At 55.6% G+C, this 19,391-nt stretch overlaps 4 annotated features.

The window, feature by feature from the left end:
* Positions 2,338–2,858: an enhancer, noted in NCBI's record as "H3K4me1 hESC enhancer chr9:133856871-133857391 (GRCh37/hg19 assembly coordinates)". NCBI's record gives its function as "activates a minimal SCP1, AML or CMV promoter by ChIP-STARR-seq in naive H9 embryonic stem cells {active_cell/tissue: H9 hESC(naive)}" and the evidence as "EXISTENCE:reporter gene assay evidence [ECO:0000049][PMID:30033119]".
* Positions 6,758–7,629: an enhancer, noted in NCBI's record as "H3K4me1 hESC enhancer chr9:133861291-133862162 (GRCh37/hg19 assembly coordinates)". NCBI's record gives its function as "activates a minimal SCP1, AML or CMV promoter by ChIP-STARR-seq in primed H9 embryonic stem cells {active_cell/tissue: H9 hESC(primed)}" and the evidence as "EXISTENCE:reporter gene assay evidence [ECO:0000049][PMID:30033119]".
* Positions 15,942–16,498: an enhancer, noted in NCBI's record as "H3K4me1 hESC enhancer chr9:133870475-133871031 (GRCh37/hg19 assembly coordinates)". NCBI's record gives its function as "activates a minimal SCP1, AML or CMV promoter by ChIP-STARR-seq in naive H9 embryonic stem cells {active_cell/tissue: H9 hESC(naive)}" and the evidence as "EXISTENCE:reporter gene assay evidence [ECO:0000049][PMID:30033119]".
* Positions 19,236–19,295: a silencer, noted in NCBI's record as "silent region_20410". NCBI's record gives its function as "represses an Ori minimal core promoter by ATAC-STARR-seq in GM12878 lymphoblastoid cells {active_cell/tissue: GM12878}" and the evidence as "EXISTENCE:reporter gene assay evidence [ECO:0000049][PMID:35858748]".

The following is a 19,391-nucleotide window of genomic DNA, read 5'->3' on the forward strand; positions in this document are numbered from 1 at the left end:
ACTCCAACCTGGGTGACAAAGCGAGACTCCGTCTCAAAAAAAAAAAAAAAAAAAAAAAAGAATCAGTCACAGAATGGTTTTGTTTTATTTTATTATCTTATTTTATTTTGTTTTGTCTTGTTTTGTTTTATTTTTTGAGACCGAGTCTTACTCCATCACCCAGGCTGGAGTACAATGGCATGTTCTCCGCTCACTGCAACCTCTGCTTCCCGGGTTCAAGTGATCCTCATTCCTCAGCCTCCTGAGGAGCTGGGATTACAGGCGTGTGCCACCACGCCCGGCCAATTTTTGTATTTTTAGTAGAGTTGAGGTTTCACCATGTTGACCAGGCTGGTCTTGAACTCCTGACCTCAAGTGATCTACCCGCTTCAGCCTCCCAAATTGCTGGGATTACAGGCTTGAGCCGCTGTGCCCAGCCAGAATCGTTTTCTTTAAATCAACTCACTTTTTGTTTAGCATTTGTTTGTGGTGTCACCGAAAGAGAAGGGCCCTAATTCAGGAATGTCTAATTGTTCCTCTGTGCACAGGGACTTCTCCGAGTTTGCAGAGCCAAGCGTGTATATATCTAAGGCTGCCCCCATGTTACTCCAGCCCAGAGTCCCACTGCATAAATAATACATGAGACGCGCTGTCTATATTTTCCATGGCGAGGCTGTGGATTAGAGCATGATACGATACATGGTATAATAAAAGCAGACGATCTATGCTGGTGTCATTTCAGCGCCTAGAACATGGCTCTTCGCTTCCAAGCAGAGAGCAGGGATTGGAGAGGAAGGGCAGGCTCTGAGTGAGGACAGAGAGCTGGCCCTGGCGGGGCAGGCTGGGGCAGTGGGAAACGTCCCAAGTGGTCAGAGCTAGGTTTGAACCCTGGCTCTGCCACTTGCGAGGTGTGTGACTTGCAAGTCAAGTACGAGGAGGACCTTTGGTGTCCCTGCCAGGTCCCCCTTGAGTCCCCTCTGTGAGCACTGCCTCCGTTCCGCCAGCATCTCAAGGCTTGGCTTTGCAGCCATTGACTGGTGCCGGGTGCAAAAGCCCAGCTCCTGGCCTTGGGATGAGGCAAAGCTGAGGGTGCACTCTATGCTCCAGTGCACCTCGTGGGAGCAGGCTGAGCTCAGCCCTCTCTTAAACCCACCCTATTGCTGTCTCCCTCTTCCCTTTCCTGCCTCCCTCACTCCTTACCAGCTTCTCCTTCGAGCTCTTCTTTCATGAAATCGCTTGCCCTGAAATCCTAGACTAGGGTCTCCTCCTGGAAATACCCCTCTAAATAGCAAGGGACTTCGCCCCTGTGCGCCTCACTTATCTCATCTGTGAAATGGATATAACATTCCCTCCAGCATGCAGTTGGCACAAAGGGCCTCAGCATAGGGCCGTGCACATATCAACTGCCTAAGAAACGAATCTCTTCTGATTCATATGCAACACACAGGAACCTTGTCATGGTGCTGCTGAGGAATGAAGCATTGCCCCTGGGCAGCGGGGGGTGTCCTGGGAGCCCTGCACAGTGGTACGGAGGAAGCAGCTTTAGAAAACATATGTAGCCCCTCCCGGGCCCATCCACCTGCTCCTCATTAGAGACGTTCTCATCCTTAGCTCTCAGCGTACAGCACAGCCCCCTCGACGGTCAAGCAGGGTTGGTGCTTTGGGGGACAGTCAGTTACGAGACCAGGTTTGGCCTCTCACGTCGTCACTTCCTCAAGATGCGGCCTAGGTACGCGGGGGCCTGGGTTAGAGCACGTGGATGTTTGACTGCAAAGTCATGTCTATTACGGGGGGGTGGGCGTGCAGATGGGGGTCTCTTCACAGAGAAGGCAGAGCCGATAGGCTGGCAGAGCAAAGAATGTTGAGCAGAGGCAACCTGGACCCTCCTGCCCATCCTGGGCCACCCACCTCTCGGGCCACATCCTTAAAAGAGAAGCAACTTGAATGAATAATGGATCAATGGCGGACGTGCTCTTGCCTGAGAGCGGGCAGGGCAAGCTTCTCTTCTGTATCCTTTTGAGTACAAGGGAGATGATTTTGCAATTCTGCAAGCCACTTAAAAAAAGAAAAGGAAAGAGAAAAAAAGAGGAAGCTGCCCTGCCCTCCCGACCACTGCCCACAGTTCTTTGGGTGAAGGTCTTGGTTAAGCTGGGGCTAGACCTCCCCACCCCAGGCATGGTAATGGCAACACCATCCATTTGGATGGGGGCATCCGCTAGAGCTAAGGGCTTTGCAGCAATACATCATTTAACCAATCCAGAAGGTTGCAATTATCTTCCCATTACTGATGAGGAAAAGGAAGTGACCACCTGGGAAGCAGAGGAGACTCATGGCCTCCCCCGGCTGAGCTCTAACCACCGAACCATCAGGCCCACCTCGCAGGAGCCTCTCCCACTTCCCCTCAGGGCCACAGATCCACTGGGTCCTTGCAAGAGCTGTCCCTGGCCTGGGATGGGGTTTGTAACCTGAGGACTTTCCCCATGGGGTACAGGTGTGGGGGAGACCCCTTCCCCTGCTGCACCCCAGGGGCCTGGCTTCCCCAGCACCCCCTACCTCACTCAGCCACGTCTCAAACCTGGGATTGAGGTTTCCTGCAGAAAAGAATCCTCAAAGCTGCCTTTGGTCCTTATTAAGTCAGCAACCCCCCTCCATGGAAGGAGGGTGCTGGGTAAGTTCCCTGCTCCTCTCCCGCCCTCTCCTCACCGCACCTTTCATCACAGGGAAAAATCCCAGGAGGGCCAGCGTCAGCTCAGCCTGAGTTACCAAGACAACGGCCTCTGCCCACTCGCCATGCGGCTTCTCCACCTCCCTGCGGCCCCCGCCCTCCACTCAGGGCCAGCGAGGCTCAGGCAGGTGCCCCCGCCACGGGGCTGTCAGCCTGGGTTGCAGGCCATGGCTTTCATCTGTGAGACTCTGCCTTCGAAGTGGATTGCATTCTCTCAGGTTCCAGGTGGTGAGATAATTGAGGAGGGAGTGACGAGGAGATGGAATGGAATCGTCTCCACTGTGGAAAAAGCTCTTGTCACGCTGCCTCCTCCTGCCGCCTGGTCTGGCCAAGCCCATTGTGGGCGACCAGGGCCCTGGGGAAGGACAGCACAGGGACCAAGACCAGGAGGCTGAGGAGTGAGACTGGCTGGGTACAAAGCCCAGCTCCACTGTTCTTAAGCTGTGTGACTTTGGGCAGGTTACTGGATCTCTCGGAGCCCTGGTACTGAATGGATGCTGATTACTGTCTCATGCGGCTGTTGCATTGGTGAAATAAGAGAGTGTGTGGGGCCGGGCACGGTGGCTCATGCCTGTAATCCCAGCACTTTGGGAGGCCAAGGTGGGTGGATCACCCGAGGTCAGGAGCTTGAGACCAGCCTGGCCAACACGGTGAAACATCATCTCTACTAAAAATACAAAAAATTAGCTGGGTGTGGTGGCGGGTGCCTGTAATCCCAGCTACTCATGAGGGTGAGGCAGGAGAATCGTCTGAACCCGGGAGGCAGAGGTTGCGGTGAGCCCAGGTCGCGCCATTGCACTCCAGCCTGGGCGACAAGAGCGAGACTTCGTCTCAAAAAAGAAAAAAAAAAAGAGTGTGTGGACAGCCTGGAGGCTGGCACCTAGGAAACACTCAGTACATAAACTGCCTGCCCTGGCCCCAGCCTCCTTTGGGCGGAGCTCAGGAGGACGCCACCGCGGAGAAGGGGACTGACATTTACGAGGAGCTCCCCGAGCACCAGGCCCCGCTTAGTGCTCACACCTGCGCTGCCCAGGAGGGCACGTGAAGGCCCTGTCCATGGTTTGTTCGTTTCATGGGTGACACTAGAGGGAGGAGCACCTTGCCAACATTGCTGGGTAGGTAAGGCCAGGCGGCTGCCTCCTCCACCAGGCCTGTGTGATCCTGAAGCCCAGGCTCTTCCGCATAGCCGGCCTTCTTGGAGACATCGCTTGGTTTCTGCAGCAGCTGGATGAAGAGCCTGCGGTTGGCAAAAGCAGGAAGACTGGGGCATCCCTGTGGCCCCTCGGCCCTCGCAGCAGCTCCTGCTTCCCAGGGCCACCCTCTGCTCTGAGCCTCTTCCTGGGCAGTAGTCGTGTTTTCCCAACCCCTGTCCTTCGGGTGACCTCAGAACTGTCACAAAAGCCCCGGGAGAGACAGAGAATCCAATCACCAGTCATTAGGTGTCCTCTATAGAGTCTGCCCTGATGGAGAGGAGGACTATGAAAAGAGATCACAGCAGAATGAGTCAGTAAACTGATTAGCTGAATCCAATCAAATTTGGAAGGCCCTGGGTGGGGGGCTTCAGACTGGCGTGAGCAGACAGAGAATGAGGGGCTGAGGATGCATCCGGCTGGCCAGTAGCCCCGTCGTGCTCCATGTCCCATGAGGCAGTGGGCAGGAATGTAGGCAACTCAGTCAGGCCACACTGGCCGAAGACATTCTGCCAGCTGAGAAGGCGGCCCTCAAATCACCAGGTGTGGCAAAGTCCCTTCCACAGTAGCAAGCATCTTTCAGCCCCAAAATGTTTAGAATTAAGTATAGATGTGTTTAAGAGAATCAAAACAATAATAATAGTATTTTTGTCTCAAAAGTTTTCCTAACTTTACAGGCCGGACACGGTGTCTCACGCCTGTAATCCCAGCACTTTGGGAGGCCGAGGCAGGCGGATCACTTGAGGCCGGGAGTTCGAGACCAGCCTGGCCAACACAGTGAAACCTCGTCTCTACTAAAAACACGAAAATTAGCTGGGCGTGGTGGCACACACCTGTAATCCCAGCTATTGGGGAGGCTGAGGCAGGAGAATCGCTTCAATCCTGGAGGCAGATGTTGCAGAGAGCCGAGATCGCACCACTGCACTCTAGCCTGGGTGACAGAGCGAGACTCTGTCTCATTAAAAAAAAAAAAAATAGTCCTCCTAACTTTACAAATGCTGAAACCACCCTCCACTCACGCTGCGTTGTTTCAGCATTTGTAAAGTTAGGAAGACTTTTGCCGATTAAAGGACAAGGTCAGCCTCACGATTCTGACTTAAAATGTGAAACTGAGCACGTGGCTTAGACTTGAGACTTGAAGCTGCGCTCTGAGAAACTTTGGAAACAGTGCTGGAATTCACCACATCTGTAATTCAATGTGTTAGACGCACAAAAGATGTGCTTCAGTCTGTAGCGAGGCTGGTTTCTCAGTTGGGCCGTGGAAGTACTTACAAAGGAAACTGAATCGATTAAGTTTATTTATGCAGTTCAAAATGTTTCAAGGAGCTCCATGAACTGGTTTTGTAAATGGGACCAAACAGTAAGGAAATGGTCCTTAGAAGGGATTGTTCTGATGTGCTGGATTTTAAATAGAATAAGTAACATGTGTAAAGTGAACTTAAAAGCTTAAGAAAGAAGAACATTTTTGAATGCGTAACATTCATGAAACAAATGTTAATGTTTAAAATCAAAGCCATTGTCTGAGTAATCTTTTCTGTGCACTAGAGCCACCCCAGAGAACAGCAAGCCACTGACAAAGATACATCCCTGTCCCCATTCAAACCTTGTTCCCCCTGTGTTCCGCACCTGCCATATCCCTTCCCAAGAGGTGAGCGTTCAAGGTGATAGGCTCGGCTGCTGTCACAGCCACAGGTTTACGGTTCATGGGCTAACGTCTGGTTTCAGCAGGACACGCTTGGGTGTCTAATAAAGGGGCTGCTCAGAGGCGGTTAGTTAACCCTCCCATTCAAGGGAGGAAGGATTCACTGAGCCCTGGCAATATCCAGGAGGAGATATTCAAGGCACCAATGAAGGTAACAGGAGCTAACAGTGCTACGGGGTTCATCATTTGTTAGGACCAGTGATGAAGCTTCATAGATATTAACTCGTATAATTGCTGTAACAACCCATTTCACCAATGAGAAAACTGAGAGGCAAGCTGATGAGGGGCGGCCCCAAAGACTTGGCCCCAGAGAGTCTGGCTGCAGAGCCTAAGCTCTTCCTCAGGCTCCTGTCCTTCAGGATCTTGCTCCGTCCTCCCACCACCCCTGTGAATTAGACATTGTTGTCCCATTCTGCAGATCAGTTAACTGAGGCTCAGGGAATCTGGAACCTCACCCAAGGCCACACAGTCACATGGGACAGAGATCGGCAGCTTCTGGCCCTTGCAACATCTGTGCAGCTCAAATCCAATGGGGGATGGACTTTGTTATTGTTGAGACAGGGTCTCACTCTGTCGCCCAGGCTGGAGTGCAGTGATGGGATTATGGCTCATTGCAACCTTGACCTCCCGAGCTCAATGGATCCTCCCGCTTCAGTCTCTTGAGTAGCTGGAACTACAGGCATGCACCACCATGCCCAGCTAATTTTTTTTGTATTTTTTGTAGAGACAGGGTTTTGCCATGTTGCCCGGGCTGGTCTTGAATTCCTGAGCGCAAACAATCTGCCTGTCTCGGCCTCCCAAAGTGTTGGGATTATAAGCATGAGGCACCTTGCCTGGCCGGGCCATGGCCTTTCAACAGATGGTACTGAATGGTTTTGAATTATAGTCATACTGGTGTTTTGCAGGCCAAGGGCAGGAGCTCAGAGTGTGCAGCAAGAAGACCTGGCCTGGTCTTGGGACAGGAGGGGCACACCCGAGGAGGTGGTGTTGACACTGAGACCTGACAGATCTCAGCTGTGGCCAGGTGCGAGTACACCTGGTGAGGAGGGGCCAAGGACCTGCTCACTGAGGAACAGCCTCCGTGAAAGCCAAGGCAGGAGGGCACTGGAGGGGTGCCCGGCGGGTGCTGGGGAAAGAGGTGGGGTGGGACAGGCTGCAGAGAGGGCAGGAGCCAGGTGGGACACTTTGAAGGTGTATCCTGACTTTTATTTATTTATTTATTTATTTATTTATTTATTTATTTTGAGATGGGGTCTTGCTCTGTCACCCAGGCTAGAGTGCTGTGGTGTGATCCCCCTGCCTCAGCCTTCTGAGTAGCTGGGACTTATAGCCATGTGCCACCACACCCAGCTATTTAAAACAATATTTTGTAGAGACAGGATCCCAGTAGGTTGCCCAGGCTGGTCTCAAACTCCTGGGCTCCTGCCTCAGCCTCCCAAAGTACTGGATTACAGGTGTGACGCCACCGTGCCTGGCTCCATCCTAACTTTGGACCTTCTCCTGAGAACACCTGGAGGTGATGGCAGGGTTTTGAGCATGAAAGGAATAAGGTTAGCCGCATGTTTGTAAGCCACCTGTCCCAGGAGGGCAGCAGGATGAGGCAGGGGAGTGGGCTGCCACGGGCGTCCAGGCGAGCAGCTGGAGCCAGGACTGACCTGGTGGCACAGAGACCAGCAAGGTGTGCCCGTGGAGAGTTGTTTAGAAGACAGCATGGATAGGGGTTGGCCGCGATGGGGTGGGGAGGGACTGGGAAAGAGGAGGCCCCTCGGGGCAAGCTGGGCCATGGGTGTGGTGTGTGGATGTCTCTCCGCATAGAGCCCTTGCCTGCCACACCAGGGCCCAGACCCGAGGGCCTTTCCCCGGCCCAGGATGAGGCACGGAGGGCTGTGCTGTTGGACCGAGAAATGTCGCCGCAGGGGCTGTGGCATACTGGCCTCTGTGGAACCCCCCCCCAGCCTGGCCTGAGGTGCCCTCCTGGCGACCTGAACCGCTTAACTCCTCCCAGAGGAGTCCGGGTAATTCGGTCTCTGTGTTTACTCCTGCGGTGAGCGCCTCTGAATCTTTCATCTTGACTGCTGACTGTATCAAAATTCCCGTGGTAATTGGATCAGGTGCAGTATTTTCCATGAGGATATTAAATCAGGCCTTCTGCCCATGTCCAGAACGATCCGTTTCAGAATATAAAGACGCAGGAGATGGCATTACCCAAGGTATTTTTCCTCCTTTAAACTTCCCCCCCATCTTAATCATGGCAGCTCTTTATTTGTTGCCAAATAAATTGGGTCGTCCTCCCCTCCCCCAGTTTGTAGCCAAAGGAAAGGAAAGATTCTTGTGCGTGGAAGTGGGAGACTGGGGGGTGTGAGCGAAGCAGCCAGGTGGGGCATGTGGGGTTGGATGGCAGTGCCCAGAGTCACCCAGGAGGGTCCCACCTCCAGGGGACCCGTGGACCTAGGCAGAGTCCTCAACAGAGGGGAAGAGTTCAGTCAGACACTGCCCTCATTCTCCCAATCAGACCCAGGAATGGCCACTTGGGGAGGAGGTTTGGGCACCCAGCATTGGTGGAAGCTCCTCGTCAGCCAGCCTGGCCCCATAGCCAACCTCAAGATGGGACATTTTAACTGTCCTTAAAACACCGCAGGAGAGAAGCTCATGGATATGGCAAGACTCCGGATGGGGAGGGAGTTGGAAAGAAGCTCCGAGACATTTAGTTGTTTAAAATGATAGGCGAGGGAGAGTACTAAGGTCAGTTCGGAGGCTGAGGAGGCCACGGCCGAATGGCTCTGTCATTTGGAAGGATGGGGTGGCAGTTGCACAACCGTGTGAAAGAACAAAATGCCACCAAATTGTTCACTTTCAAATGGGTAATGTTATGTTATGTGCATTTCATTTCCATTTTTAAAAAGCAGCTCTTGTCAAAATGCTGTGTTACCTACCAAAGACTTACTTCCATCATTCAGCCAATATTGATCAATATTGATCGAGCCTGCATTCTGTGCCAGGCATGGGTCTAGGCCCCCAGGATGTAACCGTGAACACAGCAAAGATCCCTGCCCTCGGGGAGCTGACATCAGAGAGGGGGAGTGGGAGACAGACAATGAGAAGTGGGGTGAAAAGTGCTGGGCAGAAAAAAGAGGCAGGGAAGGAGGTGGGCAGTGAGAAGGCAACATGGAGCAGAGCCCAGGGGAGGGGAGCGGAGGCAGGAAGCGGAGGGACGGCGTGGAGGCGAGTATAGGGGAGCACAGAAGGAGGGGGAGAGCTTTGGAGGGTCTCGAGCAGAAGGGAGGGCAAGAGGGTCTCTCTGGTTGCTGGGGCAGGATGGATTTCAGGGGGCAGAAGCCATCACAGGGATTCTACTGGGCAGCCAGTGCAGTTATGGAGGTGGAAACGCAAATTAAAACCACAAAGAGAACTCAGTACACAGCTGCCAAAGTGGAGAAAAATTAAAGACAGACAACACCAAGCATTGATGTCCACACAGAGAAACTGGAATGCTCCCACATTGCTGTGGGCTATAAAACATCCTGGCCACATTGAAGAAGAACATGGCAGTTTCTCATGAAGTTAAACATACATCTCCCCTGTGACCCAACAATCCCACTGCTGGGCCCATACCCGAGGGAAATGAGTGCTTATATTCACAAAAAGACTCACTCCAAAACATTCATAGCAGCTTTGTTCATAATAGCCCCAAATTAGAAACAACCCAAATGTCTACCCACAGGAGGGTGGATGCACAAACTATGGTCAGTTCACAGAATGGAATACTACACAGCAGTGAAAAAGAACCAAATCCTGACACTTGTAATGAAGCGGATGGATCTCACCTACTTTAATGGTGAACAAATAAGAAAATAGACACAAAAGAGTCCCTATTATAGGATTCCATTGGTCTGAAGTTCTAGAAGTTGTTGACTGTGCTCTGGTGATAGAAGACAGAGGTGATCTCGATGGCAGTGGGCAGAAGGATGAGGGAACTTCTGGGAGTGACAAATGTTCTTTGCCTTGATCTGTGGTCTCATGTGTGCATACACATGTAAAAATTCATTGAGCTACATAATTGTAATGCATGCATTTCACTGAATGTAAATTACACACACCCCCCCTCCCCCAACACACACACACACAAAGTGGCAATGGAGAGAGGATGGTGGCTCCAACCAGGTTGTAGTACGGTTGGGGGGCAGGAGGGAGACAGAGGGCCTGGAGAAACTGTGCTCCCTCCGGGCTCGCTACATCCAGGCCTGGGCCACCTGGAATTCCAGCCACCTCCTGCCCTTCCTGTGGTCCCTCACTTTGGGTGGGGCAACTGGGATGGGCAGATGTCCCTTCATGGGGACAGGTGGCCTGGGGAAGTGGTTATTGACTTCAGGGACCTGGCTTGTTTGTCTAGCGGGGGAGGGGCTGGCGGCGAGCATCACAGGACCAGATTCCTGATTATAACTTCATAACGGGCACTGGTGATTCGGGAGGTGCTGATATTTATGGAATAAATACAGTGCAATTTATGGCCGTATCTCCCTCTGATGTCCCATCTGATATGCAATTCAATTTCTTTTATTGTTTTTGGGCTTTTGCCATGGAGGAGAATGCATAAATAAATAAATATGTGGGCAAATGGCAGCCGGCGGGCCAGGCCGGGGCTGCCAGCCCGCCGTCTCCAGTCCCATATTAGGCCCATCGATCACACGTTATGAAGCCGGAGCCTGTCCCCCGGCTGGGATGAGCAGCAGACGTGCCGGTCACTCCCTGTTATTTAGGGGCCTCCGTTGGCGGGCTGCCCTGCCTGCCCTCTGCGTGCCACTGGGCCGTGGTGTCCATACTCAGGACCCAAGCCCATGCCGCTCTGCCACTCGATTGCAGGAATCCTGGAGGATTCTGCCCAGGGCCCAGGAGGGCATGTCCCAGCCCTTCTGTGGGCTGAGAGCACTGAGGACTTCCCCCTGCCCTCCTCTCCCATGGGAACCCCACGCCCCACAGGGTGAGGCTGCCGGGCTCTCTCACAGGCACCTTCCTGCTTCCATGCCCAACGGGCATGCCAGAAGTTCCGTTCTGGAGTCAAACCACATCTTCAAAAACCAAGCACCAGCATCTCTGAGCCCTGGGACCCTCGGTAAGTCCCCCATCCCTGCGCCTCGCTTCTTCATCTGAGCACAGGAGAGCAGCCTCTGTCCCAGGGCTGCCTGGAGGATGGCGGGAGGCCCTGCATGCGTGGGCACAGGCCAGGCACCCACTGCACAGAGTCGGACGGGGACCGTGCTAGCCGTGCCAGGTGCGGGGGATGCGCGAACCGGCCGACAGCGGCCCAGCCCTTCGCGGGGCCCTGCCCTCGGAGTCACAGAGAGGCTCAGTGGCTGAGCCTGGGGTCATCATTGATCCCCAGGACTGTCCCCTGCTGGGGACCGGACACCAGCCTGTGGGAGGACTTAGCTGGAGAGGCCACAGCCTCTCCTCGGTCCCCATCTCGGGTGGACCCCTGGGCTCCGAGATTCAAGTGGGCTGCCGAGTCCCTCCCCGTGCTCTTGGGCCAGCCACTAGCCTGGAGCCGCCCACTTCCTGCTGAGTCCCTCCCCGTGGTCTTGGACCTGCCACTGGCCTGGAGCCCCCCACTTCCAGGTGCTCCCATCCTGTGTCTCCCCGATCCCAGAGCACCCTGGGCCAGGCTGGGACTTATCTACAACAAGCTCACAGCTCCGCTCCTGCATAGCTCCAGTGACCACCACGGGCCTCGCTCCGCCACCAGTCCCAGCCGCCTTCCTCCTTTGGCTGTGCTGAGGGCTCCTGCGCCAGGCCTGTCCCCCTCAGGGCCCCATGGGTCCTGCCACACACACAGATACATCCCACAGCCACACACCACGTGCACACACACATACGCACCCACAACACACGCACACACACGCCGCCAACATGCACACATGTACACACACACAAACACACACCAACACACAGATACCCTTCCCACGTCCTCCCCTCACAGATCCCAGTGGAAACCCGATAGCCCCCAGCACATCCTTGAGACACGTGTGTGCATGAAAATCAATTTGCAAAGAATATCCCCATTGCAGAGACGGGGGTGGGGACTGACAATAAACTATGGAGAAGACTGATCTCCGCGGAGACCTGAAGGGGAAGACAAGGGGCTGCAGTGGGGAGGGTGCTCCGAGCAGAGGGAGCGACGTGCATGTGAAAGCTCTGGCAGTCCTCACATAGCTCCCCAAGCAGGGGGAGACCTAGCCGGACACTGAGGCTGTGGACTGTCCTAAATGGGGTTTGTCCTGGAAGCTGGGAGAAGTGGGGAAGGACAGGGCCAGGAGGCTGCTAAGAGAGTTGGAGAACTGGGTTTCAATCCTGCCTGACCCTCTCAGGATCAGCGATCTCAGGCAAAGCCCTCTGCTTCCCTGAGCCTCAGTGTTCTCATCTGCAGCCTGGGGGCAACGCCCCTCCCTCATAAGATCATCTTGAGGATGAATCTGGATGGTTTGTATGGCAGGTGGTGGGGACGGAGCCTGGCCCAATGGGGGTGAGCAGGAGGGGTCACCTCTCTGATTCTGACACAGCGGGGGGTGCCCCCTAACCCCACCTACTCTGAGTGGCCCCCATTTTTACCCTGTCCCGCGGAGGGTTGGGGGTTATACTGAATCCACCTCTCTGTCCCCCAGGGGCCTCCACCAGGCCGTGCCTCCTGGGCAGGCATAGACTTGGCAGCTTTACAGTTTTATTTTCTGAGCCCCCTCGCCTGGCCTTCACATCAGCCCCAGCAGGCGGCAGAAATTTCCCGCGGCCTATGCAGGGCCCCATTTGCGCATCGCCGGGAATGCTAATCGGCTCCTGGCGGTCCCAGGCGGAGAATCCCGCCTTTCCCTGACATTTGTAAAGTTCACGTTTTCAAAATAAAGCCACGTGAAGGGCGAGGCACTCGCAGATCACTTCCCTGTCACCGGCCTGCTGGCTCCTTCCCTGCCCTTGGCCTTCACTCCCCCGCTTAAAAGCCATCAGTCCTGGGAGAACAGCCACCCCCCTCCCCGAGCTTCGCTGGCCAGTTCCTTTCTCCCAGCCTTCTGCCTGCTTTCTGCCCTCCCTCCCTCCTTTCACACACTCACCCATTCACTTGTTCTTTCATTCTGCACTATTTATTGAGCACCTAGTGCACATCCTTCCTGGGTGTATGTCAAGGACACAGCAGGAAGCCCCAGGATTCTTGTCCCCAGGAGCTGACAGTCAAGTGGGAAAGAGGGACATGAAATACTCACTTAATGACAAGTGTGAGAAATGCCACAAAGTTGGAAGCAGGGGAGGTGTCACAGGGTTGGGGCACCAGGGACTGCTTCCCTGAGGAAGTGGCATCACCCCAGGCCTAGAGGAGGAGCAGGAGTCAGCCGCCACCCCACCCTGGCGAGAAGAGGCAGAAGGGCATTTCAGGACCCGCGGGTGCAAAGTCCTGGGATGGGGGGGCCAGGGATGCCTGAGGGTCTAGAAGAGGCCCGTGAGTTCTGGAGTCTTAGGAGCTTCAGCTCAAGAGATCCCCTTTACCCGAGGGGAATGGGGGCCCTGCAGGGTCGTGCCAGGCCCCTGGTGCGGACTGGGGTCCTGCTCAGGTGAGGCTCAGTGCACGTGGCGCTCAGATGGCCAGGCCCTAGGGCAGCCGGAGCTGTGCATGTGCCTCCCGTCCCTGGATGGGTTCTGCTGACTTACACTTGGGTTATAACTGGGTTCTGGTGACTTATAATTGCTGTTTCCTTGTCCTCAGCAGAAAGAGCTCGGAAACGAAATTATTGTTTAAGGACAGCCTCCCTGCAGTGAGAACTGCTGGCGAAGACCAGTGTCTTCCTCCTGCAGCCGCACAGCAGCAAGCGAGGCCGAGCTCATGGCCTGAGGGGGCAGACGGGCCACAAACAGACAAGCAAAAACATGCCCAGCAGGTGCGGTGAGGGCTAGGGGGGAAAACCCGCAGAGTGGCAGGGGAGTCCTGGGGAAGGTCAGCAGGAGGGTCTGGGACGGCCTCTCCATAAAGGGATGCAGAAGAAAGTGTGGGAAGAGCGTTCCAGGCACGAGGAGCAGCAAGTGCAAAGGCCCCGAGGTGGAAACGTGCTCTGTGTGATCGGGAAGGAGGCCCGTGTGGCTGCAGCCAGCCCAGTGGGCAAGGGGACAGGATGGCAGGTGTGGTCACTGAAACCAGAACTGGGTAGGGGGCAATCAAGTAGTGCCTCCTGTAGGGACAGTGAGGCCCGCAGAGCTGGGGCAGAGGCCGCTGGAGAACCCAGGGAGGAAAGGCTCTCATTTGAAGCAGCACACATTCACCCCTGACTCCCGCTTCATTGATTCACCATCATTCATTCACTCTCACTCATTCATTCCTTTTCTGTCCATTCTTCCGTCCACTTCCCATTCATTTGTCAGCTTTCATTCATCCCCTCTGCCTTTTGTGAGCATCTACCCTGCCACCTGCCCAGGGGAGGAGTCAGACCCACTCCCTGCCTGCCCTCAAAGGGCTCCTCGTCTGTGGTGGGGTCAGAGGTACAACAAAGCCCACTGTAGGGGCCTGAGGTGTTTAATCCACCCACGGGATGGGTTCCTGGATCCCTGGCCGGGCCCATCTGTGGGTGACACGTGGCACTGTGAGCTGTGGGGGCCGTATCTGGGCACTGGGCAGGGGGTGCTGTATCAGTGTGGACGTGGCTGCCAGCATTTTATAGGGAAGTGCCAGGCCCAACGGAAGCTGCTGGGGACCCTGGGTCCCCAGAGGAAGTGGCAGTGGGGGCCAGCAGGGGCCAGAGGCTGGGGCTGGAGCCTCTCACTGGTGGGGGGACAGCCTGGACCCCTGGGAGAGCCTTGGGAAAGGGAAGCCACTCTAGGCAGGCCTCAGAGGACATCCTTTGCTTCCCTTTATCATACAGATGGGAACCCTGAGGCCCAGAGAGGGGAAGGGACCTGCCCAAGGACACACAGCGTGGGAGGGGCCGAGCCAGGAGAAGTCTGGCCTCCTGGGTTCCTCTGGGCACAGAACTTCAGCACTGACAACGGCTTCCCCATCTCCCCCAGGCCTGCTCCTGGACCGGCGACCCTGTCTGAGCACAGCACGCCCACCCAGGGCCCAGCCAGAGACCCAGAGCCAGCCTCAGCTTTGCTCACCACCCCGCCAGCCCAACTGGGTGATTTTCTGTCCCCAGTGCCTTCTGGCACAGATACCCCCATGCCCAGGGGCCACAGTTTGCTTCCCGGGTCCTGCAGACCCCAGCTCCTCCCTGCTCCTGTTTAGGCTACCACCTCATTCTCCTCGGGTCCCTGCAGCAGCTGCCAAACCATTTCTGCTTCCACACCACCCCCAGCGGGCCAATCTCCCTGCACATCCCAAGAGAAAATCTTCCCACAGCTCCCCATGGCCCCCCGGTGAAGTCCAGGCTCTCCAGCAGGATGTCCTGGGCCCTTCTTGGCTCCCCTTTTCCACCCTCCCCACTCCTCAAATGCCCATCCTCCCACCCCCATCCTCCGCTTCTGAGCCTTTCACATGCTGCTGTCTGCCTGGGATGCTCTTCCCCAACCCCTTTTCCTGGATACTCCATTCTCCTCCAGGTCTCAGCTGAGACTCCACCTCCTCCAGGAAGCCCTCCCTGATCTCTCCAGACTGTGTTAGGCATCAGGTCTCCACTCTCACTGCCTGGTGCTTACAGCCTTGTGTTGTTATTAACAGCTTCTTGGATCCCTAAAGTGCAGGGACAGTTTCATCATTATTCATCACTCTGTCCCCTGTGTCCAGCCCAGGGCCCAGAGTGTGGGCTGAGTAAACATCTGTCCAGTGGATAAAGGAATGAATGAATGAATGGATAGATAACCACGTTTATCTCCTTTGTAGCCCAGCCTGTGGCCCCTGCACCACCGAGAAGGGGACATCCTTTATTCTTCTGAACCCCCTGAACTTGAAGGGCTGCCCAGGGCTGACTCATCCAGGCCCAGACCCACCTCAGGCTGAACACAGCAGGGAGGTTGAGACAGTTGCTAGACTGAGTAGTGACATGCCCTGAGGCCAGTCATGTCCCTTGGCCTGTCTAAATCTGTTAACTCTGTAGGAGGAGATGCTCCGTGAGGGTGACAGCTGAGGGGCCCCCTGTCAGCTCCCATCAGCTCCCTCTCCATCCTGCCTCCCATCTCATCTTGCAGGTCTCCAGTGAGCTGTCACCTCCTCTGAGAAGCCTCCCTGATTGCTCACCCCCTCATGGAGCTCATCCCAGCCCTGTGTCTATTTCCTTTGCGGCTCTTACCGTGATCAGTCACTAACTAATTCACCAGGTTGCTTCCTGGGTCACTGTCTGTCTTCCTGATTCTCTGGGGAGCACCATGAGGTCCCAGACAGTCTATCCCCTGTACCTCAGCAACCAGCCCAGGGAGGGCACAGAACAAATGTCCCCTAAAGTAATAGAATGAATGAATGGATGGATGAATGAATGAATGGAGAGCAAAGTGGAAAGGCGCACAGGCTCTGGGGCCGGGCACACTGGGGTGTGTACACGGCTCTCTGTTGCTGACGAGCAGAGTGGTCCTGGGCAAGGAGCTGTCTCTGGCTGGGCCTCAGTTTCCCTGTCTGCAATATGGGGAGAATAACAGTAACTACTTGTGGAGGTGGTGCACTCAGCCCAGGTCTGACTCCCAGGAGGCCTCTCAGGGGGTGACCTTGTCCTTGCTCAGAGGGGCAGGGCAGTGCCCAGGGATATGCTGCAATACAGACAGATGGGCGTGGGCCTAGCAGTGGGATCCTGGGGGCTGATGTCGCCAGTTGCTAACTTCTTTCTTCCACAGTTGTCCACAAGCCCTTGGCAGACCTCCCAGTTTTCACTTCCTGCCCTTGAAGCCTGCCTGCAGAGCAAGTGATGTCTCCCCACCGAACAGAAGGGAAGATCGAGACCCAGGCATGCGGACAGAGAGCACAGGCTTAACAGAGCCTCTGAGCCAGACCTGGCATCCTGGGAACCACCTAGACCAATGCTCTTGCTGTCCACATGGGGAACTGAGCCGCCCTAGAAGGGCAGAGCCCCACCCAAGATACCACAGTGAGTCTGGGCTCCAAAGCTGCAGGGTGGGGGCAGGGGGAGCTGCCTTTCCCCTCTGCGCTGTGCCCCCAACGCTGGGCTCCAACGAGGCTGCAGAGCTGTCAGGAGAGATCAGCAGGGCCCTGGCCGATCTCCCCAGATTTAATTAACAGGCCTTTCATCTCTGTCCTGAAGGAATCAGCTCTCTTCTGTCTTCTTAATTAACGTTCATTAAGCAAATCAGAACAACAGGGTTTTTCTCCCTTCTTTCTTCTCCCGGAAGGTTTTAACCCTTAGTAGGTGGGCTTCCGGGAGGGAGCCTGCTACCTTTGCTGGTAGCCCAAGCACAAGGCCAGGCCTCTGCAGGAGCCCCCTAGGTCCCCAACGCAGGCACATTCCTTATCGGACACATACACACACACAATGGACACACACACACATTGGACACACATGCACACACTCACATATCAGACACATGGGACACATACACACACATCGGACCCACACACACATCGGACACACACACACAACAGACCCACACACACATCGGACACACACACACAGGACACACACACACATCAGAGACACACACACATTGGACACACACACATATTGGACACACACACATATTGGACACACACACACTCACATATCAGACACATGGGACACATACACACACATCGGACCCACACACACATCGGACCCACACACACATCGGATACACACACACATCGGACCCACACACACATTGGATACATACACACATCAGACACACACACACACATCAGAGACACACACACATTGGACATACACACATATTGGACACACACACTCACATATCGGACACATGGGACACATACACACACATCGGACCCACACACACATCAGAGACACACACACACTGGACACACACACACACATCAGAGACACACACACACACTGGACACGCACACATATTGGACACACATACACACATATCAGACACATGGAACACACACACATGCGTGCACACGCATCAGCTCCTCCTACCACACCATCATCAGGCTGCTCCCCTGGACTCCACTCCCATCTTCCAAAAGGAAACAGGCCTGGACCATCTGCTGCTCAAGAGCCTTCCTTGGCTCCCTGCTACGGCTAGGACAATGGGCAGACCCTCACCAAGCCCTGCCAGCTTCATTTCTGTCCCCCTTCCAGGCCCCCTCGTCCGCCTTGCTCCTCTCACTCGCCTCCCACCTCCCCGCTTGGCACTTGCAGTTGCTTCTTCAGTTGTACCCTTCCCACTTCCCCTCCGGAGACCCTCTCCAACGCCACTCCTCTCCTTCCCGAATCAGCTCTCTCTGCCGGTGCTAAGGACAGCTCCCTGAACCCCTGAAGGAAATATTCAGGGGTCCCTGCTCCCAGAGCAATCCCAGACACAGGTGATCCTGGGGTAGGGCACAGGACCAAAGCCGCCTGTCCAGGCACACCCACCAGTGGGTCAAGGCCAGTGTGACACAGGTGCCACTTACGGACCCTAGGAACTAGTACCAGCAGGGGACCTCAAATGACATGGTGGGAGGTACTTAGGTGGCAGCAGGGCTCCACTTGGGGGAGGGATGCAGGGGCTGCCACCAGGTGTCAGGGAGAGGGGTTGGAGGTTGGGGATCTGGAGAGGGGCCCCAAAGCTCCAGGCTGCAGGGAAACTGAGGCCATGCAGCCTGTGGCTTCTGTGGGTTTCTGGTCATGTGTGTAAAGAGGGGACCCCCGGCTTCAGGGGTCAGATGTCTTGCCAGGGTGTGGGGCCCTACCAGAAGGTGCCACTCAGAACCTTCCCCTGATGGAGAGCTGGCAGCCCTCACCCAAAGACTGGCTTCCTCAGTTCTCCTGGCTCCTTCCCAGCCCTTTCCGGCAGTGCAGGTGTTTATTGTCCCCTTGTTGCCCAGATTTGGGGGGTTATTCTGAGACTTTTTTGTGGGTGCACAGACACCCCGATGCCCGGGGAGGATACTTTGCTTCCTGAATTCTGTAGACCCTCCCCGAACCCTATCCTAGGAGGAGCTGACCACAGGGATAGGAGAGACCCGGTCACATCCTGCCTTGAATGTGTCCCCAACAAACTGCTTCTCTTCCCTGGGCCTCAGTTTCCCCATTTGTACAGCCTGTGCCCTGGATCCAACCATCTTTATAGGCCCATCTTATCGGATCCCAGGCCACAGGGAAGCAGGGGATGTTTAGCCACCCCACCCACAGTGCCATCCCTTCTACTCACGCTGTCTGAACACAGCGGTCAGTCTGAGAGGCCAGTGCCCACCGGCCGCCCCATGGAGGCTGAGGGGCCTCAGGATGGGGGCCCGGGGAGTTTGTCCTCAGCAGTGGGATGGAGGGAGACCTGGCTCTGGCCCTGGGTCTGCCCACTCCCGCTGTGTGTTCCTGGGAGTCACCCCCACTCTGAGCCCCTCCTTCCCCCTTTGGGCTCCCCATAAACCTGGCTGCTCCACACTCAGCGCTGGGGCCCCGAGCGGCTGGGGAAGGGCTAGCGGGGGTCAGACGGCAGAGCCTCTTGCTCTCGGGGCCTGAGACGTGCTTGTGCCACTCACCCAGAAAGCAGCCTCGGGAAGGAGCTTTGTCCGATGGAGCTCCGCGCCCCCCTCCACGGCGCTGGTCAGCTCCCCTGCCCTGTGCAGCAATGGCCCGGGGTGTCCTAGGCCACCAGGGGCCAGAGAGGGGCCCGTCCCCGTATTGTGGCCAACATCGCCACCTGGTGGTTGGTCCCGGGTGAACTTGAGCAGCTGGACGGT

Source organism: Homo sapiens, chromosome 9 (assembly GCF_000001405.40).
Source record: "Homo sapiens chromosome 9, GRCh38.p14 Primary Assembly".
In the NCBI taxonomy this organism is placed as follows: domain Eukaryota; kingdom Metazoa; phylum Chordata; class Mammalia; order Primates; family Hominidae; genus Homo; species Homo sapiens.